Raw genomic sequence first — 25,126 nt, 5'->3', positions numbered from 1 at the left:
GTTTAGAGGGTGGTACTTGGTTCATACCTCGGAATAATCCCATAGAAAGCATATTTTAACATTTTATACAGCATTTGACATAAAATCCCATGTATAAAATAAAGAACTATGGTCTGGGTGGTAGCACAATTGGATAGGTAAAAGAACAACTACAGTAAATAACCTGCACTGTCCCAATTACTCTGATTTGCTCATTACACATTGTACACATGTATCAAAATATTACATGTATCCCCAAAATATATACATCTATGATATATCAATTTTAAAAATAAAAAATAAAATAAGAGAGGAGAAAACCCTTGAAGGCAAGAACATGGGTCATATTTAAGGATCTCTTGATGTGGTTGCATAAGAGATTTTAGTTTGGGGTAGGTTAAATTTTAATCACTACATTCCCTTCCAACCACAGAACATCTATTCACAATGTAAATTTAAAAGGAGAAAACCACCTTGGGACTTTCAAAAATACTGCAATGTGGTTAGAATCCTAGAGTTCTCAAGATTTAAATATGTCTACCCCATATGTCATTTCCACATTCCTTTTTGAAGATTTGCTGTATTTTTATTTCTCACTAAATTTGCATGGGGGCAAGTATAATTATATATATATAATTATATAATACAAGAAAAAAAAACTGGACCAGTATTATCCTGGAGAATGAAGTAGTTAGTCTATTCTTGAATGTCAATGTTCAGAAATATTAATCTTGCTGCCAAATCTGTAAATAATAAAAAACTTATAGGGAAAGCTAGTATGTCAATGACCCAATTCAATTTAGAAGCTTGACAGGCCTGGAATGATGGGCTCAGACCAATAAGTCAAAAGCCAGCCCAGAGAAATGTCAAGTTTGGATTCAGATTTTTAACCATGGGGGAAACATCGTGGCAATTCACGTGAAAAAGAACTGGGGAGTCAAAATTAAAGAAACTTTTTTTTTTTTGAGACAGGTTTTCACTCTGTCACCCAGGCTGGAGTGCAGTGGTGCCATCACGTCTCACTGCAGCCTTGACCTCCTGGGCTCAAGGGATCCTTACACCTCAGCCTCCTGAGTAGTTGGGACTACAGGGGTGCACCACCATGCCTAGTAAACTTTTAAAATATTTTTGGTAGAGATGAGGTTTTGCCGTGTTGCCCAGGCTGGTCTCAAACTCCTGGGCTCAAGTGATCCTCCTGCCTTGGCCTCTTGGAGTGCTGAGATTACAGGCATGAGCTACCACGCCAAGCCAGAAACTTTTTAATGTTTAAAACATATGTATGTTTTTAGTTTTTTACTTTAAGAAAACCAACAAAATGCATATTATAAAAATCAGGAAAAAATAAAGAAGCGGTATAGAAGAAAATGCCCATATTCCCACCAAGGAGAAGCCATTTGTAAAGAAGCAAAGATGAGGCTGGGGAGGTGAGGAGTGAGCTTGGCCAGGGCTCAGGGGCATGGATTTGGTTTCTGAGGTTCCATTTCCTCATCGCTAATGCAAAGGGTTTGACTTGATGGTCTGTTAGGACCCTTCTCATGTTAGGATTGAATGACTTACTGATAGGATATGGCTGTCTCCAACAGCTGAAAGGCTCTGAGGCTATCAAAGGAAGCAGATTGAGCAATGCTGTTCTGAATTCCACAAGATGAAACCCCATCAGTGGGTGAGGTGACACTTAAGTAAACCAAGAAAACTTTACTCTCTATTTCCGAAACTAGAGAGGGCTACTTGTGCTATGGTTTGAATATGGTTTGTGTGGCCTTGCCAAGGCTCAGGTTGAAATTTAATCCCAGTGTTGGAGGTGGGGCCTGGTGGGAGGTATTCATGATCATGTTGGTGCATCTCTCCTCACAGTAATGAGTGAACTTTCCTTCTACCAGTTCCCACGAGAGTTTCCCTGAGAGCAAATTGTTAAAAAGAGCCTGGCACCTCCCTTCTCTATCTCTTGCTCCCCTTCTCTCACCTTATGACCACTGTTTCCCTTTACCTCTCACCACGAATAGCAGCAGCCTGAAGCCCTCCCCAGAAGCAGATCCTGGCACCATGCTTATTGTACAGCAAGCAGAACTGTGAGCCAAATAAAATAAACCTCTTTTCTTTATAAATTACCCAGTCTCAGGTCTTTCTTTATAACAACGCAAACTGACTAAGACAACTTGTCAAGTGTCAAGTACACTAATATGGGGTAAACCAATGATCACCTGTCACTTTCAGTTTGGCTAAGAGAAGATTTCTTTTTTTAGACAGAGTTTCGCTCTTGTTGTCCAGGCTGGAGCGCAATGGCATTATCTCGGCTTACTGCAACCTCCGCCTCCCAGGTTCAAGCAATTCTCCTGCCTCAGCCTCCCTAGTAGCTGGGATTACAGGCATGTGCCACCACGCCTGGCTAATTTTGTGTTTTTAGTAGAGACGGGGTCTCTCCATGTTGGTCAGGCTGGTCTCGAACTCCCGACCTCAGGTGATCCGCCCACCTTGGCCTCCCAAAGTGCTGGGATTACAGGCGTGAGCCACCATGTCCGGCCGGCTAAGAGAAGATTTCTAAAATTCCTCTAAATTCCTGAATCTCAACCCCTACAAAAGCCTCATTTGTCAGGGCACAGTGGCTCACGCCTGTAATCCCAGCATTTTGGGAGGCCGAGGCGGGTGGATTACCTGTGGTCAGGGGTTCGAGACCAGCCTGACCAACATGGTGAAACCCTATCTCTACCAAAAATACAAAAATTAGCCACAGTTGGTGACGCATACCTGTAATCCCAGCTACTTGAGAGGCTGATGCAGGAGAGTTGCTTGAACCCGGGAGGCGGAGGTTGCAGTGAGCCAAGATCATGCCATTGCACTGCAGCCTGGGCAACAAGTGTGAAACTATGTCTTGAAAACAAAAAAAAAAAGCCTCGTTAATCCAGACACCATTTATTAAAAAACTGCATTTGTTGAGAAAGGAAATTCCTGCCAGGCCGTGGCTCATGCCTATAATCCCAATACTTTGAGAGGCCAAGTCAGGTGAATTGCTTGAGCCTAGCAGTTTGAAACCAGCCTGGGCAACATGGTGAAACTCTGTCTCTACAAAAAAAATACAAAAATTAGCCAGGTGTGGTGGTGTGCATCATGGTCCCAGCTACTCTGGAGGCTCAGGTGAGAGAATCAGCTGAACCCAGGGAGCCTGAGGCTGCAGTGAGCTGTGATTGTGCCACTGTACTCCAACCTGGGTGAAAAGGGAGACCCTGTCTCATAAAGAAAAGAAGAGAAATTCTTACTCAACGCTAAAGGTGTTGAAATAATTCTTCCTCTGCATTTTCAAAACTTTAAACATAAAAAAGAAAAAAGTTATTAAATAGCAAGAATTTTTCTTCTTTTGAGACAGAGTCTCACTCTCATCCAGCCTGGAGTGCAGTGGTGTGATCATAGCTCACTGTGGCCTCAAATTCCTGGGCTCAAGCCATCCTCCTCAGCCTCCTGAATAGTTGGGACTACAGGTGTGCACTGCCGTGCCTGGCTAACTATTTTATTTTTTTGTGTGGAGATGAGGGTCTCACTATGTTGCCCAGGCTGATCTCAAACTCCTGGCCTCAAGTGATTCTCCCACCTTGGCATCCCAAACTGCTGGATGACAGGTATGACCCACTGTGTGCCTGACAATACCAAGACTTTTTCAAAGAGACCCCAATAAATTGAAGACCATTGCTATACCTTTTCATGTTCCTGGTCTAACTACAAATGTATACATATGAAAGGTTTTCTGTTTTCATAGCATGCCACTACATAATGATGTCTAACTGTCAAAGCCTGGTTATGCTCATTAATTAGTCCTGTAATTAGCTGTACCATTGCAAAAACATGTAACCAACCTAAATACTCATCAGCTGATGTGTGGATAAAGAAAATATGGTGTATATATACACCATGGAATACTAGTCAGCCATAAAAAAGAATGAAACAATGTCTTTTGCAGCAACTTGGATGGAACTGAAGGCCACTGTTCTAAGTGAGGTAACTTCGGAATGGAAAATCAAATACCATATGTTCTTACTTAAAAGTGGGAGGGGAGCTGAGCTATGGGTACACAAAAGCATGCAGGGTGGTATAATAGACTTTGGAGACTCAGAACGGGGAGAGTGGGAGGGGAGTGAGGGATAAAAAACTACATATTGGGTACAATGTACACTATTTGGATGATGGGTGCACCAAAATCTCAGACTTCACTGCTATACATTTCATCCATGTAACCAAAAACCACTGGTATCCCAAAAGCTATTGAAATTAAAAAAGTATGTATTAGTCCCTTATTGCATTGCTGTAAAGAACTGCTCAAGACTGGGTAATTTATAGAGAAAGAGGGTGTAATTGACTCATAGTTCCCAGGCTGTACAGGTAGCATGGCTGGGAATGCCTCTGGAAACTTACAATCATGATGGAAGGTGAAGGGGAAGCAAGGAAAGTCTTACATGGCCAGAGAAGGAGGAAGAGAGAAAAGGGGGAGGTGCTACACACTTTTAAACAACCAGATATCATGAGAACTCTCTCACTATGACGAGAACAGCAAGGAGGAAGTACACCCCCATCATCCAATTGCCTCACCTCCCACCAGGTTCCTCCTCCAACGTTGGGGATTACAATTCAACATGAGATTTGGATGGGGACACAAATCCAAACCATATCAATATATATAATAAAAAAATAAAAAGGTGGATATTAAGGAGAAAAAATTAATTAGCTGTATCCAGATGCATTTTAATTTGCATTATACATTGCACTAACATCCAGAAAAATATAACCCTTTAAAAATACTATAATTCAAAATTTTTCACAAATTTTCCTCTCCTACTGGCCTTCTTCCTGCTTTGTCCTTTCTGCTTTTAAGTTTTCAGTGATAAGGAATTCTCAGTAGATTTCAATATCAGCCATGATTTTAAGATGGTGATTTGCTTTGAAAATGCTGGTATTCCTGCAAGATTGGAAATTAAGAACTCTTGGATAAAGTTCAGTGAGGATAACTGCATGGATGACAGCTCTTGAATCCTGCTCTCTCACAAATGTCACACACGTCACAGGCTGGTGGGAATCAGGAAGACACGGGGGTCCCATCACAAACTGTCTGACCACTCTCCTTCCTCCTCTCCCAGCCAGCTGTGGCATTTCTTCTCTCAGGCCTTTCATTTTTGTCACCTCTGCCTGGGGCTCATTTCCTTGCCATGTTTGCATAGCTTCAGTTTCTTCTCAAATGTCCCCTCTTCAGAGAAGTCTTCCCCCAGTTTATATGTCCTTCAATCCCAGCAATTATCCTACTTGCTTTTTCACTTGTTTGTTCTGTGTCCTCCTGGAGGGCAGATCTTGTTCATGCTGTACCTTCTGTCCCTACACGGGTGCCAGGAACCCAGTAGGGGCTTCATCAGTATCTGTTGAGTGGATGTCAGGTCCTGCCTCAAAGACCTTGTAGTCTGGTAGGGAGAGGCAAACAGCAAGGATTCCACAAGGTAATTCCTGAAATGCAAGTGTGTGCCAAAAATCGTCTGGGAGAAGAAGTGCTCCGTGTTTCCTCAGAGTTGGTGCTGGTCAGGGTCTTGAGGATTGAATTCCTGAGTTGAGTTTAACGACAAGTCACAGCCCAGCCACCTGACACCAGGACAAGGGGGTTCCAGGGGGAACAGCGCGTCCAGACAGAATCTCAGAAGTGTGGTGGCCCATCCCGCTTTGGAAGGCCCAGATGGCTGCCCTTGGCAGAGACAGAGCTCAGTGAGTAAACCCACAGGCTCCCTTGCACTTTCCATTTTTTCAGTTGAGTTCATGTGACCAGATCTAAAAATGATGCGTGATACTTCCTGGCCAAGGATGTTAAAAGCTGGTGTGTCTCCTCCCTGGGACCACGGATGGCCATGTTGGGATGGCCGTGTGACAAGAAGGGGTCCTGGATCTCTGACTCACTGCCTGGCGGAGAGCCTGCTCTTTGTCTGGGTGAGAAATAAATCTGGAATTGCCTTCTGTAGATGCTGGTGGTGAATACACTTGTCTGATACACTGACCGAGTAGAAAATGCTCACAGGCAATGTCCTTATCCAGATGAGATGAACAAAAAGTAAAAACCTCATGTAGATTTCTCTACCTTTCTAGAGAGTGAGCATTCTCACCTCAGTTTTATCTAAAACAACACTTTTTCTATCTATCTCACTTTGTCTTAGATCATTGGTGTTGCTCTAAAGAAATATCTGAGCCTGGAGAATTTGTAAGGAAAAAAAGGGTTATTTGGCTTATGATTCTGCTGGCCGGAATCCTGGGCATCCGGTGAGGGCTCACGCTGCTTCCACTCATGCGGAAGTCAAAGGTGAGCTGGCATGCGCAGAGATCACATAGCAAGAGAAGCCAGAGAGAGAGCGAGAGGGGAAGTGCCTGTGTCTTTCTACCAATCAGCTTTTGCAGCAACTAATAGAGTGAGAACTCTTTACTTCAAGGACAGCACCAAGCCATTCATGAGGGATCCATCCCCAGGACCCAAACACCTCCCATTCAGCCCCACCTCCAACTTTGGGGGCCATATTCCAACATGAGAGTTGGAGGGAACAAACATCCAAAGTATAGCACACTTGTTTAAGCTTTATTGATCAGATTTTCCTTTTTTCTTTCTCTCTCTTTTTTTTTTTTTTTTTGAGACGGAGTCTCGCTCTGTTGCTCATGCTGGAGTGCAGTGGTGTCATCTCGGCTCACTGCAACCTCCACCTCCGGGGTTCAAGCGATTCTCCTGCTTCAGCCTCCCGAGTAGCTGGGACTACAGGCACGCACCACCATGCCCTACTAAATTTTGTATTTTTAGTGGAGACGGGGTTTCACTATGTTGGCCAGGCTGGTCTCGAACTCCTGACCTCGTGATGCACTGGCCTCGACCTCCCAAAGTGCTGGGATTACAGGTGTGACCCACTGCACCTGGCCAATCAGATTGTCTTTAATAAAAGACTCATTTGCTTTAAAAAAAAAAAAGGCATAAAATAAATGAAATTAGCTGGTGTCAATGGAGGCTGGTTAACCACCTGCTCACAGTAAAGCCCTCAGTGTGTGTTATCTGGCTTACTCCTCATAACACCTCTGTGATGTAGATATTGTCACTATCCACATTTTTCAGGTTTGGAAACCAAGTCTTACAGAGGCAGATGGCTAATCTGGGTGACACTGGGAATGGCCAGGGAAAGCCGGGGTTTCAGCCCAGCTCTGTCTGGCTGCAGAGCGCTTGCTCCTAACTCCTGAGTGACTCCACTGGTCTAATTCAGTCGTCCACTGAAGGCTCGAATCTTCAACAAGGATCTTTTACTTCCTACCTGGAAGAACAGCCAATCACAGCTCTGGTCTTTTTTAATTTGTAAGAAAGTTCTTCTTTACCCAAAGGGAAAATCTGCCTCCCGGGACTCTCATAAATGCTTCATGACTAGAGTCATTTATTTCTTCCTATACTGGGACTACTGTGTTATGTATATGTCTTTCCATTTTAAGAAAACAAAGTATTTGTCTAGGAAAAGGAAAGATATTATAGTTTTCCAGATATTATAGTTTTCCACTGCAGAGAAAAGAGTTATGTAACAGCAATGATTATTATAAAATAGTGCATTTCAACATCCTAGCAAGGAATGCTTATGGCATTGGCCATCGGTTCTAGGATCCATAGCCCCCCTGATGCTATAGGCTATAGTCTTGTTGGTCTTTTAACATCCTGTAGATCTAAATTGTGTATTTGAAACACCTTTATTGTGAATCATGGACAGCAGTATTCCCCCTGAATCATTCTAGGGGCTTAAATCAGGTGCACACTCTCAAAATACAATGTATGTTCTTCCTGTGTGAATGACTAACATGACGCCATTCATGACAAATTCTAGTCTCAGCTCTGATTCCCAAGATCAAATGCTTGATCTTGGGAAACTCACCTTCACTAGGACCTTATAAATGCATTCTCGGCTGGGTGCAGTGGCTCACGCCTGTAATCCCGGCACTTTGGGAGGCCGAGGTGCGCAGATCACAAGGTCAGGAGATTGAGACCATCCTGGCTATCACGGAGAAACTCCATCTCTACTAAAAATACAAAATATTAGCCTAGTGTGGTGGCATGCGCCTGTAGTCCAAGCTGCTCAGGAGGCTGAGGCAGGAGAATTGCTTGAACCTGGGAGGCAGAGATTGCAGTGAGCCAAGATTGCGCCACTGCACTCCAGCCTGGGCAACAGAGTGAGACTCCGTCTCAAAAATAAATAAGTAAATAAAAAAAAAAAATGCGACCTCAGCTTTCCAGACTAAGGGGATGTAGAGGAACCATTATCTCAGCAGCTTCTGAATTTCAGATGGTCCACGAAAAAGGATTTGTTATATCCAACCTCTTCAACAGGAATTCTAACCTAACTTTGTCATATGATCAGAAGCCTCAGATACTTTTTTCTCAACCTCTGATTCCTACATCGACTGTGTGCTTTTGTTTAGTCTGTAGCAGTATAAAGTTAGGGGGCATGGTTCACAAGACCACTATCACTTCAAACACCGATTGCAAATTTGAGGCTTCCCAAGACCACTGTCAAGGTTTGATAATTCTCTAGAAAGACTCATAGAACTCACTGAAAGCTGAAATAGCCATAGTTACAGTTTTTTTTGTTTTGTTTTATTTTTGTTTTTGTTGTAATTCTTTTTTTTTTTTTTTTTTTTTGGCAGGATTTTGCTCTATCACCCAGGGTGGAGTGCAGTGGTGCATTCATAGCTCACTACAGCCTCAGTCTCCCAGGCTCAAGTGATCTTCCTGCCTTAGCCTCCAAAGTAGCTGGGACTACAGGCACGTATGACCACACCCAGCTAATTTTTTTTTTTAATTTTGATTTTTAGCAGAGACAGGGTCTTGCTATGTTGCCCAGACTGGTCTCAAACTCCTGGGCTTAAGTGATCCTCCTGTTTTGGCCTCCCAAAGTGTTAGGATTAGAGGTGTGAGCCACTGCACCTGGCTGGTTATAGTTTACTACAGTGAAAGGATACAGATTAAAGTCAGCCAAGCTGGGCACCGTGGCTCACACCTGTAATCCCAGCACTTTGGGAGGCAGGGAGATCACCTGAGATCACAAGTTCGAGACCAGCCTGGCCAACATGGTGAAACCCCGTCTCTACTAGAAATACAAAAAAATTAGCCAAGCATGGTGGCGGGCACCTGTAGTCCCAGCTACTCAGGAGGCTGAGGCATGAGACTCGCTTGAACCGGGTGGTGGAGGTTGCAGTGAGCCGAGATAGCGCCACTGCACTCCAGCCTGGGCAACAGAGTGAGAATCCATCTCGAAAGTTTATGTCTTAAGGAATAAGAAAAAGAAGAAAAAACTTAACCCACAGCTAACGAGCAGAAGGAAAAAAAAATCACAGGAGGGACAAATAAAAAGAGAAGAAAAATAACAGGCCAATTACAACCCCTCCCCACCCTGCTCCCGCCACCTCCACCGGAACAGGTGCTGGTATCCACAGGTGAGAGACCCATAGACGATTCACATTATAGGACTCTGTGCAGACAACTCCCAGTATTAGCCCAGAGCCAGATAGACTCGATGGGTGGCTAGACCCAGAAAAGAGACAACAATCACTGCAGTTCGGCTCTCAGGAAGCTACATCCATAAGAAAAGTGGGAGAGTACTACATCAAGGGAACACCCCTTGGGACAAAAGAATCTGAACAATAGCCTTCAGCCCCGGACCTTCCCTCTGACAGAGCCTACCCAAATGAGAGGGAACCAGAAAACCAATCCTGGTAACATGACAAAGCCAGGCTCTTCAATACCCCCCAAAAATCACACTAATCCACCAGCAATGGATCCAACAAACCAAGAAATCCCTGATTTACCTGAAAAAGAATTTAGGAAGTTAGTTATTAAGCTAATCAGGGAGGGAGCAGAGAAAGGCAAAACCCAATGCAAGGAAATCCAAAGTATGATACAAGAAGTGAAGGGAGAAATGTTCAAGGAAATAGATAGCTTAAAGATAAAGCAATACAAAATTCAGGAAACTTTGTACACACATTTAGAAACATGAAATGCTCTGGAAAGTCTCAGCAATAGAAATGAACAAGTAGAAGAAAGAAATTCAGAGCTTGAAGACAAGGTCTTCGAATTAACCCAATCCAATAAAGACAAAGAAAAAAGAATAAGAAAATATGAACAAAGCCTCCAAGAAGTCTGGGATTATGTTAAATGACCAAAACTAAGAATAATTTGTGTTCCTGAGGAAGAAGAGAATTCTAAAAGCTTGGAGGACATATTTGGGGGAATAATCAAGGAAAATTTCCCCAGCCTCACTAGAGACCTAGACATGCAAATACAAGAAGCACAAAGAACATCCGGGAAATTCGTTGCAAAAAGATCTTCACCTAGGCACATTGTCATTAGGTTATCCAAAGTTAAGACGAAGGAAAGAATCCTAAGAGCTGTGAGACAGAAGCACCAGGTAACCTATAAAGGAAAACCTATCAGATTTACAGCAGATTTCTCAGCAGAAACCCTACAAGCTAGAAGGGATTGGGGTCCTATCTTCAGCTTCCTCAAACAAAGCAGTTATCAGCCAAGAATTTTGTATCCAGTGAAACTGAGCATCATATATGAAGGAAGGATACAGTCTTTTTCAGACAAACAAATGCTGAGAGAATTCATCCCTACCAATCCACCACTAAAAGAACTGCTAAAAGGAGTTCTAAATTTTGAAACAAATCCTGGAAACACATCAAAACAGAACCTCTTTAAAGCATAAATCACACAGGACCTATAAAGCAAAAATAGAAGTTAAAAAGCAAGAGCAAAAAACCAAAAACAAAAGCACACAGGCAACAAAGAGCATGATGAATGCATGTTGAATTTAATACCAACATTAAATGTAAATATCCTAATGGCTCCATTTAAAAGACACAGAACTGCAGAATGGGTAAGAACTCACCAACCAACTATCTGCTGCCTTCAGGAGACTCGCCTAGCACATAAGGACTCACATAAACTTAAAGTAAAGGGGTAGAAAAAGGCATTTCATGCAAATGGACACCAAAAGCGAGCAGGGGTAGCTATTCTTATATCAGACAAAGCAAACTTTAAAGCAACAGCAGTTAAAAGAGACAAAGAGGGACATTATATATGGTAAAAGGCCTTGTCCAACAGGAAAATATCACAATCCTAAACATATACGCACCTAACACTGGAGATTCCAAATTTATAAAACAATTACTAACAGACCTAAGAAGTGAGATAGACAGCAACACAATAATATTGGGGGACTTCAATCTTCCACTGGCAGCACTAGACAGGTAATCAAGACAGAAAGTCAACAAAAAACAATGGATTTAAACTGTAGCTTGGAACAAATAGACTTAACAGATATATACAGAACATTTTATCCAACAACTGCAGAATTCCTGTTCTATTCAACAGCGCATGGAACTTTCTCCAAGATAGGCCATATGATAGGCCATAAAATGAGCCTCAATACATTTAAGAAAATTGAGATTATATCAAGCACTCTCTCAGATCACAGTGGAAAAAAACTGGAAATCAACTCCAAAAGGAACCTTCAAAACCATGCAAATATACAGAAATTAAATAACCTGATCCTGAATGAGCACTGGGTCAAAAATGAAATCAAGATGGAAATTAAAAATTCTTCAAACTGAATGACAATAATTACACAACCTATGAAAACCTCTGGGATATGGCAAACATGGTGCTAAGAGGAAAGTTCACAGCTCTAAATGCTTACATCAAAAAGATGGAAAGAGCACAAACTGACCCTCTAAGGTCACACCTCGAGGAACTAGAGAAACAAGAACAAACCAAACCCAAACCCAGCAGAAGAAAGAAAATAACAGAGATCAGAGCAGAACTAAATGAAATTGAAACAAACAAGAAAAAAATACAAAAGACAAATGAAACAAAAAGCTGATTCTTTGAAAAGATAAATAAAATGGATAGACTATTACCAAGATTAACCAAGAAAAGAAGAGAGAAAATCCAAATAACCTCACTAAGAAATGAAACAGGAGATATTACAACTGACACCACCAAAATACAAAAGATCATTCAAGGCTACTATGAACACCTTTATGCACATAAACTAGAAAACCTACAAGAGATGGATAAACTCCTGGAAACATACAACCTTCCTAGCTTAAATCAGGAAGAATTAGATACCCTGAACAGACCAATAACGAGCAGCGAGATTGAAATGGTAATTTAAAAATTACCAAAAAAACACAAAAAAGTCCAGGGCCCGATGGATTCACAGCAGAATTCTACCAGACATTCAAAGAAGAATTGGTACTAATCCTTTTGACACTATTCCACAAGATAAAGAAAGAACCCTCCCTAATTCATTCTATGAAGCCAGCATCACCCTAATACCAAAACCAGGAAAGGACATAACCAAAAAAGAAAACTACAGACCGATATCCGTGATGAATATAGATGCTAAAATCCTTAACAAAATACTAGCTAACCGAATTCAACAACATATCAAAAAGATAATCCACCATGATCAAGTGGGTTTCATACTAGGGATGCAGGGATGGCTTAACATATGCAAATCAATTCATGTGATAACACCACATAAACAGAATTAAAAACAAAAATCACACGATCATTTCAATAGATGCAGAAAAAGCATTTGTCAAAATCCAGCATCCCTTTTTGATTAAAGCTCTCAGCAAAATCTGCATACAAGGGACATACCTTAATGTAATAAAAGCCATCTATGACAAACCCGCAGCCAACATGATACTGAATGGGGAAAAGTTGAAAGCATTCCCTCTGAGAACTGGAAGAAGACAAGGATGCCCACTCTTACCACTCCTCTTTAACATAGTACTGGAAGTCCTAGCCAGAGCAATTAGATAACAGAAAGAAATAAAGAGCCTCTAAACTGGTAAAGAGAAAGTCGAACTGTCACTCTTTGCTGACAATATGATTGTTTATCTTGAAAACCCTAAGAACTCCTCCAGAAAGTTCCTAGAACTGATAAAAGAATTCAGCAAAGTTTCCACATACAAGACTAATGTACAAAAATCAGTAGCTCTTCTATACACCAACAGTGACCAAGTGGAGAATCAAATCAAGAACACAATCCCTTTTATAATAGCTGCAAAAAAAAAAAAAGAAACAAAAACCTTAGGAATATACCTAACCAAGAAGTCGAAAGACCTTTACAAGGAAAACTACAAAACACTGCTGAAAGAAATCATAGACAACACAAACAAATGGAAACACATCCCATGCTCATGGATGGGTAGAATCAATATTGTGAAAATGACCATACTGCCAAAAGCAATCTACAAATTCAGTGAAATTCCCATCAAAATACCACCATTAGTCTTCATAGAATTAGAAAAAACAATTATAAAATTTGTGTGGAACCAAAAAAAGAGTCTGCATAGCCAAAGCAAGACTAAGCAAAAAGAACAAATCTGGACACATTACGCTACTTGATTTCAAACTGTACTATAAGGCTATAGTCACCAAAACAGCGTCGTACTGGTATAAACATAGGCCCATAGACCAATGGAACAGAATAGAGAACCCAGAAATAATCCCAAATATTTACAGCCAACTGATTTTCAACAAAGCAAACAAAAACACAAAGTGGGGAAAGGACACCCTTTTCAACAAATGGTGCTGGGATAATTAGTTAGCCACATGTAGGAGAATGAAATTGGATCCTCATCTCTCACCTTACACAAAAATCAACTCAAAATGGATTAAGGACTTAAACGTAAGACCTGAAACTGTAAAAATTCTAGAAGATAACATTGGAAAAACCCTTCTAAACATTGGCTTAGGCAAGGGTTTCATGACCAAGAACTTCAAAGTGAATGCAATAAAAACAAAGCTAAATAGTTGGAACCTAATTAAACTAAAGAGCTTTTGCACAGCAAAAGGAACAGTCAGCAGAGTAAACAGACAACCCACAGAGTAGGAGAAAAATCTTCACAATCTATACATCTGACACAGGACTAACATCCAGAATCTACAATGAACTCAAAGAAATCAGTGAGAAAAATTCATAGAAACACACAAGATATCAAGAGTGAATCATGAAGAAACAGAAAATATGAATAGACCTTTAAGTAGTAAGGAGATTGTATTGGTAATCAAAAACCTCTCAACAAAGAAAACTCTGGACAATATTGCTTCACTGGTGCATTTGACCAAACATTTAGCGAGGATTTAACACCAAATCCTTCTCACATTCTGCTGAAATGTTGGAGAGAACACTTGTTAGCTTAATCTTTGAGGTCTGTATTACTCTAACACCAAAGCCAAAGACAGCTCAAGAAAGTACAAATCTGTACTTATAAATATTGATGCAAAAAAAAAGAGCTTCAACAGAACACTATGAAACAAAATTAGCAGCATAATAAAAGGAGTATACCCCATGACCAAGTGGGATTTACTCTCAGAATGCAAGGATAGTTCAACTATGAAAATAAATCTGACCAGGTGCAGTAGCTCATGCCTATAATCCCAGAATTTTGGGAGGCCAAGGTGGAAGGATCACTTGAGCCTAGGAATTCAAGACCAGCCTGGGCAACATAGTGAGACCTCATCTCTACAAAAAAATCAAAAAATGAGGCAGGAGAATTGCTTGAGCCCAGAAGGTTGAGGCTGCAGTGAGCTCTGATAGTGTGCCACTGTACTCTCACCTGGGTGATGGAAGTGAGACCCTATCCCCCAACCAAAAAATTCAATCAATCAATGTAAAACTCCATGTTAACAGAATGAAGGAAACAAATCCTATGAACATTTTAATTGATTCAGAAAAATATCATTTGACAAAATTCAACACTTGTTTGTGACCAAAACAAACTGAAAAACTGAAAAAAACTAGGATTGGAAGTAAACTTCCTTAACATAATAAAGGCCATATATGAAACCCCACAGCTAGCATTGCCTTCAATGTTGAATGACTGAAAGCTTTCCCCCCAAGATCAGATACAAGACAAGGTTGCCTTCTTTTACTATTTCTATTCAACATAGCATTGGAAGTCCTAGCCAGAGCAGGTAGGTAAGAAAAAGAAATAAAAACCATTCAAATTAGAAAGGAAGAAGTACAATTACCTGTTTGCAGATAAATGATCTTATAAATAGAAAACCCTAAAGACATACAACACATACGAGAACTGTCAGGACTAATAAATGACTTCTGAAAAGTTGCAGAATAGAAAATTAACATAGAAAAATCAGTTGCACTTCTATAATCTAACAATCAACAATCCAATGGGAAATTTTAAAAAATTATATTTACAATAGCAACAAATAGAATAAAATACTTAGGAATAAACTTAATCAAGGATGCAAAAGACTTGCACATTTAAACTACAAATTGTTGCCAGGCATGGTGGTGTGTGCCTGCAGTCCCAGCTACTCAGGGGCCAAGGTGAGAGGATCTCTTGAGCCCAGGAGTTTGAGACCAGCCTGGGCAACATAATGAGACTGTCTTTTAAAAAAACAGGTAAAATTATAAAAGATTGGTGAGAGAAATTTAAGAAGATACTAATAAATGGAAAGACATCTCATATTAATGGATTGGAAGACTTAATAAGACACTATTAATAAGACTTAATAAGATGCTATTACTACCCAAAATGACCTACAGATTCAATACAATCTCTATCAAAATCCTAGCAGTTTTTTTTGCAGAAATGGAAAAACTCATCTTAAAATGCATATGGAATTGTAAGGGACCTTGAATAGCTAAAACAATCTGGAAAAGAAGAACAATGTTGGAAGACTCACACTTCCTGATTTCAAAACATATTGCAAAGCTATAGTAGTCAAAACAGTATGGTATGGGCAAAAAGTCAGACATATAGACCAATGGAATAGAGAGTCCAGTAATCAGCCCTCAGATATATGGTCAAATGATTTTTGACAAGGGTGCCAAGACCATTCAATGGGAAAAGTAAAGTCTTTTCAACAAATAATGCTAGGAAAATTGGATATTCACACATAAAAGAATGAAGCTGGACCCTTACCTAACACCATAAACAAAAATTAACTCAAAATGGGTCAAAGACCTAAATGTAGGACCTAAACCTTTAAAACTCTTAGAAGAAAATGTTGGGCAAAAGCTATATAATATTGGGTTTGGCAGTGATTTCTTGGCTATAACACTGAAGGCACAGGCAAAAACATAAGAAATAGACAAATTGAGCCTTACAAAAAATTTTTAAAATTTGTTCATCAAAAGAAGCTATCAGTAGAATAACAGGAAATCTACAGAATGGGAGAAAATATTTGCAAATCATATACTTGAAAAGGGATTAGTATTCAAATGCACCAAGAACTCTTAAAATTCGATGACAGAAAGACAAAGAATTGAATTCAAAAATAGGCAAATAACATGAATAGACATTTTGCAAAGAAGATATACAAAAGACCAAGAAGCCCATGAAAAGATGCTCAACATCACTAACGTTAGGAAAATGCAAATCAAAACCACAATGAGATACCACTTCACACACATCAGGATGGCTACTATTAAAAAAACAGAGTATAACAAGTGTGGACAAGGATGTGGAGAAATTGGAATCCTTGTGCATTGCTGGTGGAGATAAAAATGGTGGCTGGGTGTGGTGGCTCATGCCTGTAATCACAGCAATTTGGGAGGCTGAGGTGGGCACATTGATTGAGCTTGGGATGTCAAGACCAGCCTGAGCAACATGGTGAAACCCCATCTCTACGAAAAATACAAGAATTAGCCAGGTATGGTGGTGTGTGTCTGTGGTCCCAGCTACTTGGGAGGCTGAGGTAGGAGGATCACTTGAGCCCAGGAGGGAAAAGTTGCAGTGAGCCGAGATTGTACCACTGCACTCCAGCCTGGATGTGAGACCCTGTCTCAAAAAAAAAAAAAAAAAGTACAGTTTCTGTCAAAAATAGTATGGCAGTTCCTCAAAAAAAATTAAAAATAGAATTACCATATGATACAGTGATTCCACTGCTGGGCATATACCAAAGAATTGAAAGCAGGGTCTGGAAGAGATATTTGTACATCCATGTTCATAGCAGCATTATTCACAATAGCTAAAATACGGAGGCAACCAAAGTATCTGTTGACAGACGAATGGATAAGCAAAGTGTGGTCTATCCAGATAATGCAATATTATTCAGCCTTAAAAAGAGGAAAATTCTGACACATTGCTACAACATGGATGAATCTTAGAAGACATTATTTTAAGTGACATAAGCCAGACACAAAGGACAAATACTGTATAATTTCACTTACATGAGGTATCTAGAGTAGGTAAATTCATAGAGGCAGAAAATGGAATAGCGATAACTAGGGACTTGGGGCAGAGGAGAATGGAGAAATATCATTTAATAGGTACAGTTTTAGTTTGAGATGACGGAAAATTCTGGAGGTGGACATTGGTGATATTTGCACAACAACATAAATGCACTTAGTGTTACTGAATTCTGCACTTACAAATGGTTGAAATGGTAATTTTTTTCTTTTTTTCTTTCTTAAAATGGTAAATTTTATGTTATATATATTCTACTACAACAACAAAAAATCATTTGCATTTTACAAGTTAAACCAATCCTTACAGAATTTAAAATTTCCTAAGGAATAACCAAACAAAAGCACATGCCTCTAGAACAGGGTTTCTCAGGCTCAGCGCTACTGATATTTTGAACCAGATAATTCTTTGTTGTGGACAGTGTCCTGTGTCTTATAGGGTATGTGGTAGCATCCCTGCTGTCTTTCCACTCAAGGTCAGTAGCAATCCCCTCCCCTGCTGTGACAACCAAAAATGTCTCTGGACATTGCCAAATGCTGCCCGGGGCACAAAATCAACACCAGTTGAGAACCACTAATAAGAGTTCTGGAAATCCCCACTCAGTCCCGAATCCTGACAGTTGTCTAGGCGCATCAGCTTGCAAGTCTATAGCCATAAATCCGTTCCTTGAGACATCAGCAGTTAGAAGTATCTGGTACAGTCCTTTCCACAGACACTCTGAGACAGTCCTTCTTTGTTGTAGATCTAAGTTTTAGAATCTGTAGCTTACAGCAGAGCCAGTCCATATCACAAAGCATCATTTTCCTTACCAGTGTCCATGAAATACTTTCTCAATTCACGTGAACTCATAGACAGACATATGAGCAAGGTTTTTACCCAATTCTTTGTTGTATCTCACATGGCAGAGAATAGATTCACATCAACCTGCTATATCACAAAACGGTTGGACCATAAAACTACATTCCTAATCATTGCTGCCACCATTGGGGAATAAATTCTTGGCCATGCGCAAATCTGAACTGGAAACAAATTTGTCTAAGGACCAGAAACAGAAGCAAAAGTAATGAGATAGGGTGGCAGCGGGGAGCGGGTGGTGAGATGCACAGAGAAACAGAGTCAAGGAAGATAAATTCTATTGGCATTTGAGACTCACTTCAGGAGCCAAGAAAAGGTGCTACTGGGCTTACCTGGCCAGGAAGTGCACTTTTTTGGTTAATTAAGTTTAATTGGTTCCGGAAGTTGAGTCCACTTGGACATCTCAATGAGATGTCCAAAACTGTCAAAGTATGTGCAATGAACTGAATTGCATATGTTGAAGCGCTAATCCAAAATTCTTATGTGGAAACCCTGACCTCCGATGTGACTATATATTTGGAGATGGGGCCTGTGAGGAGGTGTTAAAGTTGAATGAGGTCATGAGACTTAAGCCCTGATCTGATAGGGCTGATGCCCTCATAAGAAGAGGAAGAGACCCCAGAACTCTCTTTCAGCCATGTGAGGACACAGGGAGATAGGGGCTATCTACAAGCCAGGAAGAAAACTCTTTGCCAGAAACCAACGATGCTGGCACTTTGCTCTTGGACTTCACAGCCAGAACTGTGAGAAATAAATTTCTGTTGTTTAAGCCACCCAGTCTATGCTACTTTTTTATGGCAGCTCTAGCATACTAATGCAGTATAATTCCCCAAAAAGTTATCAACGTGACTTTCTTACAAACACAAATATATATATTTTTTTGAGATGGAGTTTCGCTCTTGTTGCCCAGGCTGGAGTGCAATGGTGTCATCTCAGCTCACCACAACCTCTGCCTACCAGGTTCAGGGGATTCTCCTGCCTCAGCCTCCCGAGTAGCTGGGATTACAGGTATGCACCACCACGCCTGGCTAATTTTGTATTTTTAGTAGAGACGGGGTTTCTCCATGTTGGTCAGGCTGGTCTCAAACTCCTGACCTCAGGTGATCTGCCCACCTCGGCCTCCCAAACTGCTGGGATTACAGGCGTGAGCCACCTTGCCTGGCCTGATTTATTTTAATCCATCAATGACGGGATCAGCATGATAACAAGCCTGGTTCTGTATTAGACTTTTTAAATGAGTGACTTATACCAGCTACATTCATTTCCTCACTATTCACACATTCCTTAGCTTCCCAGATTTCACGTTTACCCTCTCACTTTATTAAACCTCATTTTTTTATTTTTTATTTTTAGTTATTTTATTTGGAGACACAGTCTCACTCTGTCACTCAGGCTGGAGTGCAGTGGCACGATCTCGGCTCACTGCAACCTCTGCCTCCTGGGTTCAAGCCATTCTCATGTCTCAGCCTCCAGAGAAGCTGGGACTACAGGCATGCGCCAGTCATGATTGAATAATTTTTGTATTTTTTGGTAGAGATGAGGTTTCACCATGTTGGCCAGGCTGGTCTTGAACTCCTGACCTCAGGTGATTCACCCCCGTGGGCCTCCCAAAGTGCTGGGATTACAGGCATGAGCCACTGCGCCCAGCTAAAACCTCATTTTTTATACAGATGGGTCTTGCTGTGACACCCAGGTTGGAGTGCAGTGGTGTGATCATAGCTCACTGCAGCCTCGACATCCTGGGGTCAAACAATCCTCCCACCTCAACCTCCTGGGTAGCTGGGACTACAGGCATGCTCCACCATGCCTGGGTAATATCTTTTATTTTTTAAGAGACAGGGTCTTGTTACATTGCCCAGGCTGGTCTTGAACTCCTGGCCTCAAGTGGTCCTCCCGCCTTGGCCTCGTAAAGTAGTGGGATTATAGGCACAAGCCACCGTGGCTGGCAAAACCTCATTCTTGAAACTCACCAGCAAACTATTCTACTGTGGAACCCAAGTTTTCTTCATTCCTCACTATCCTAAATTACATAGTACTAGTGACAACTGTTCACCTGCAGTTTGAAGACCCTAAGCCAGTTCTCTGCTTGTGTTTCTGGATACATCTGTTCTTTGTCGTTCTTCCTTCGTATGTGGAGCCATCCTCAAAGCACTGGGGTCATCCTGCTTAACAATAAAAAGAGCTACCATTTATTGATTGCTTATTCAATGCAGACACAGTTCTCACTACTTCATAAGCTGCAATTTTATCTGGTCTTCACAGGAACTGTTATTATCTCTGTTTCATGCCTAGGGACACTGAAGCATAGAGAAGTTACCTGACCAAAGTCACGTAGTTAGTGGCAAAACCAAGATTCAAACTCAGGCAGTCTGGCTCTGCCTTGAGGCAGACTGCACAGTCTCCACCTTCTCTATTTTTTGCCTCGGAGCACCTGGCCAATTATCCCTTGGCCAACCTCACATGACTATTAACTCCAGAGTCAGCCATCTCTGAGCTCCAATTCCACCACTGCTAGCTGTGTAATCTTAATCGAGTTCTTTATTCTTTATTAGGTCTAGTCCTCAATTTCATCATCTGTAAAATGGGCACATAATAGATTCTATTTCTAATTCTCACAGAGTTGCTATGAGAATTAATTGAGCTGATATGAGTAAAATGCCTGACATTGAGAAGGCATTGGATGCTAGTACTATTAGTCATCTAATTACATGTTGTTTGTCTGTGGAACAGAGCACCTAGGTTCTTTTCCTGGGATCCATAAGCCAGCATGGGGGAGGGTTACAGGCAGGCAAATGTTTTGTGTGTACATTTATTTTTTCTGGGGAGAAAGTCCATAAGTTTGATCATATTCTCAAAAGAGTATATGACCCCCAAAAGTTGGGAACCACTGAGCTTTAAATGAGTCTAAAAGGGCCCCAGCACGGTGGCTCATGTCTGTAATCCCAGCACTTAGAGAGGCTGAGGAAGGCGGATCGCCTGAGGTCAGGAGTTCAAGACCAGCCTGGCCAACATGGCGAAACCTCGTCTCTATTAAAAATACAAAAATTAGCCCAGCATGTCAGCGTGAGCCTGTAATCCCAGCTACTTGGGAGGCTGAGGCAGGAGAATAGCTTGACCCAGGGAGACGGAGGTTGCAGTGAGTCGAGATCATGCCACTGCCCTCTGGCCTGGGTGACGGAGCAAGACTCCGTCTCAAAAATAAATAAATAAATACATAAATAAATAAACCTAAAGTTTGAGACCTGCGTCTTTTACATTTCCTGCCCTCAGCATAGCCAGGGATACAGCAAGCTTTCACTGATGTGCATGGAATTGAATCCTCACTGGAACGTAGCAGCTGGGTCAAGGCCGTGGACAGTAGGGTTCCTGACATTGTCACCTGTCTTCATTCCACACAAAGATGCCCACTGTGAAAAGTTTTCTGAAATCACTTCTTCAGTCCAATAACAACATTTCAAAGCTGAGTATTTCACGTGCTGCATTGGGAAAGGGTGCTGATTACATCCCTCAAACTGCACAACTGTGACCGTCACTGCTGGCTGATACTTCGCAGAAGGGCGCAGGGGGCAACTGTTGATGTGGCAGGGCTATGTTAGCATTCTTTACCTTACCTTCGCTTGAGGACTTAAGATAATAGCAGCTACCACAGAAATAATGGAAACAAAAATTCTTTTATTTTAATTTGTATCCGTTCTTACGGTTTCTTTATACTCCTCCTCAATTCAAAATGAATCTAAGCACATTTAGATATTGATTCCAATTAAGATATTTAATATGTCTTATCTTCTGTAAACTAGTCCATTTTGTGTTGATATAAAGGAATTCCAGAAATTGGGTAACTTATTTACAAAAAAAAAAAAGGAGGTTTTTTTGGCTCATAGTTCTGCAGGCTGTACAAGAAGCACAGTGCTGGCATCTGCTTCTGGGTGGGGAAGCCCAGGAAGCTCACAGCCATAGCAGAAGGGGAAAAGGCAACAGGTATGTCACATGGCAAGAAAGGGAGCAAGAGGGATGCCAAGATCTTTTAAACAGCCAGCTCCCACATGAGCTAATAGCATATTATTATGTCAGGACTTATCCGCTTGGAAGTGACAAAAAAAATTCAAACTAGCTTAAACAGAAAGGATATTTGTGGGCTCAGGCAGAGCTAGAGCCAGGGGTTCAACCAATGTCACTGGGACTCTCTTTCCTTCTCTTTGTCTTTGAGCTCTGCTTTCCTGCTGAAGGCTGGCCTCTTCTTCTCGCACTGGAAAAGGACTTCCTCCCTATAGCTGGAGAAAGTGCCACTTAATAGCCTCAAGCTTATATTGTCTGAGCCAAAGACCACCAGCAAAAGAGAACTTCTTGGTATTCCAATTATAGACAAAGATTCTTCCATCACATGCGCAGCTGTTGCCAGGGGCATAAGATGATCTGATTGGCCAAGCCCAGGTCACTTCCCTTTCCCTATAGATGGGGACAGAGTGGGAGGCTGGGGTTGACAGCCCCAGGAGAACCACAGGGGGACAGGGAAGAGCAGTGAGCAGATGAAGCAATACGTGTCCATTTATACATTTGCCTTTGTGTTAAAATAACAAGAACTTGATGAGAAAGACCAAACTGGACAGCACTCATGGGGTGGGAAGGACTCCTCTCTGGGACATAATTGACCATATGTAAGGTCTAGCTGTTAAAAAATCTACTATAGTCATAAGCATAACCTATAAGATCGTATTTCTAGAACAGAGGAGGTAAGCCTCCCTCCAGAGGAGCCCTTGTTCATACAGTACTGAAGGACAGCCACAATGGACGAGGGTGTCAATTTGTTCTGCAGATGAGATGAGGACCGATGAGCAAAGATTAAAAGACAGAACAGTGGCAAATGTTACTGGCTTGGGACTGGTTTCTTAAGCTAGAGGGAACTTTTAGGAATGACCTAAGGCAGCGGTCCCCAACCTTGTTGGCACCAAGGACTAGTTTCGTGGAAGACAATTTTTCTACAGATGTGGGGCAGCAAGGCAGCGTGGTTTAGTGATGAAACTGTTCCACCTTAGATCATCAGGCATTAGACAGATTCTCATAAGGAGTGCGCAACTTAGATCCCTCGCATGCACAGTTCATAAAAGGGTTCGCACTCCTATGAGAATCTAATCCTGCTGCTGATCTGACAGGAGGCTGAGCTCAGGTGGTAATTGTTCACATGCCGCTCACCTCTTGCAATGCGGCTCAGAACCTAACAGGCCATAGATGGTACCAGAACCCCTGGCCTAAGAGGCTCACAGAAAAAATGGAAAGGGTGGAAATTTAAGAGAAACCAAGGGGACTCCAGAAACCAGGCTGCAAGATCCAGGCATAGGCAGGAGAGGGAGGATCTGTGCCCTCAATTTTGGCAGAGGAAGCCCTGGATGGGAGGCAGCCCTGGGCGAGGAGGGGCATCTTCCTCTGATGGAGATTGGGGAGCCAATAGAAAGGAAGATCTGGCCAGGCACAGTGGCTCATGCTGTAATCCCAGCACTTTGAGAGGCCGAGGCAGATGGATCACCTGAGGTCAGGAGTTCAAGACCAGCGTGGCCAACATGGTGAAACTCTGTCTCTACTAAAAATACAAAATCTAGCCGGGCATGGTGGCAGGTGCCTGTAGTCCCAGCTACTCAGGAGGCTGAGGCAGGGGAATAGCTTGAACTCAGGAAGGGGAGTTGCAGTGAGCCAAGATCGCGCCACTGCACTCCAGCCTGGGCGACAGAGTGAGACTCCATCTCCAAAAAAAAAGGGCCTGGAGCTGCACTCCTGAAAGATAAACAATAGATATTTGCCACACAGGCATACAGATTCCACATGAGAAAATCTGCTGGCGACCGAGTCTGGCCAGGAGCAGAACAGGCAGCCTCACAGGGACATGAAGGCTGTCCACCTCTCGGGGGGTGTGGCTGAACCTCTTGGAGCCCTTCCACCCTAAGCCTCTGGCACTATCACTCCCTCAGCTTGCCAGCCCATCCTATCTCAATAATTTTCTTCTTCTGAGCCAGGGGAGGCCATCCTCCGAGGGCTTCCTCAACTTCCCTCTTCCTTGCTTCTGAGAAAAAGCTGATCTTCCAACTCACATGCTGTGTACCCACTCCTCCTGACTCCTCCCCAATTCACGTGCTCTGTACCCACTCCTCCCACACAGTGCTCCTTCCATCCACTGCCCTCTCCTTCCCATTTGTCTCTGGATGGTGCTGTTCTCTCTCCCTCTCTCTCCCCCCGTCCCCAGCCCCCGACTGCCCCTTCCAAATACAAACATACTCAGGAGACATCCGCTATCTACTTGACACTTTTTATGAATTCCCATGCCAGTGTAGAACCTAGAAAAGCCAGATATTTGCAAGCCTCTCTTGTAAATAGGGTGCAGTCGCTCAGGTTAGAGTGCAGTGGTATGATCTCAGCTTACCTCTGCCTCTCAGGTTCAAGTAATTCTCCTGTCAGCCTCCGGAGTAGCTGGGACTACAAGCATGCACCACCAAGTCCAGCTAATTTTTGTATTTTTAGTAAAAATGAGGTTTCGCCATGTTGGCCAGGTTGGTCTTGAACTCCTGACCTCAGGTGATCCGCCTGCCTTGGCCTCCCAGAGTGCCCTTATATTTGTGTGTGTGTGTGTGTGTGTGTGTTGTGTTGAAGATTGTAAAATATGCCCGCAAATTCCTTCACCCGGTATGCAATCCCTTTTGGAATGTGAATTTGCTGCTCCTCTTATGCAGAAGGGAAGTTCATTTCTCTCCCTTGACTCTTAGCCTTGTGATTTCTTTGAACGTGAGAATGCAGCAGGAGATGTATATGACCTTGAGATGCCAGTCCAGGCTTCTGGAGGATGTGACCAAGACGGCCCAGCCCACAGCCCACCCCACTGCCAGTTATGTAAGGGAGGTGTACTAGTTTGTTTTGTGCTGTTATAAAGGAATACCGGAGGCTGGGTAATTTATAAATAAAACAGGTTTATTTGGCTCATGGTTCTGCAGGCTATACAGGAAGCACAGTGTCAGCATCTGCTTCTGGTGAGGCCTCAGGGAGCTTCCAA

General features: G+C 42.1%; 1 annotated feature.

The window, feature by feature from the left end:
• Positions 377 to 577: a silencer, noted in NCBI's record as "peak753 fragment used in MPRA reporter construct". NCBI's record gives its function as "represses an SCP1 promoter by STARR-seq MPRAs in K562 erythroleukemia cells {active_cell/tissue: K562}" and the evidence as "EXISTENCE:reporter gene assay evidence [ECO:0000049][PMID:32103011]".

The sequence above is a fragment of the Homo sapiens genome, chromosome 1 (genome assembly GCF_000001405.40).
Source record: "Homo sapiens chromosome 1, GRCh38.p14 Primary Assembly".
Lineage (NCBI taxonomy): Eukaryota > Metazoa > Chordata > Mammalia > Primates > Hominidae > Homo > Homo sapiens.
The sequence above is the reverse complement of the archived record's forward strand: the minus strand, read 5'-3'. Positions and strand labels throughout refer to the sequence as shown.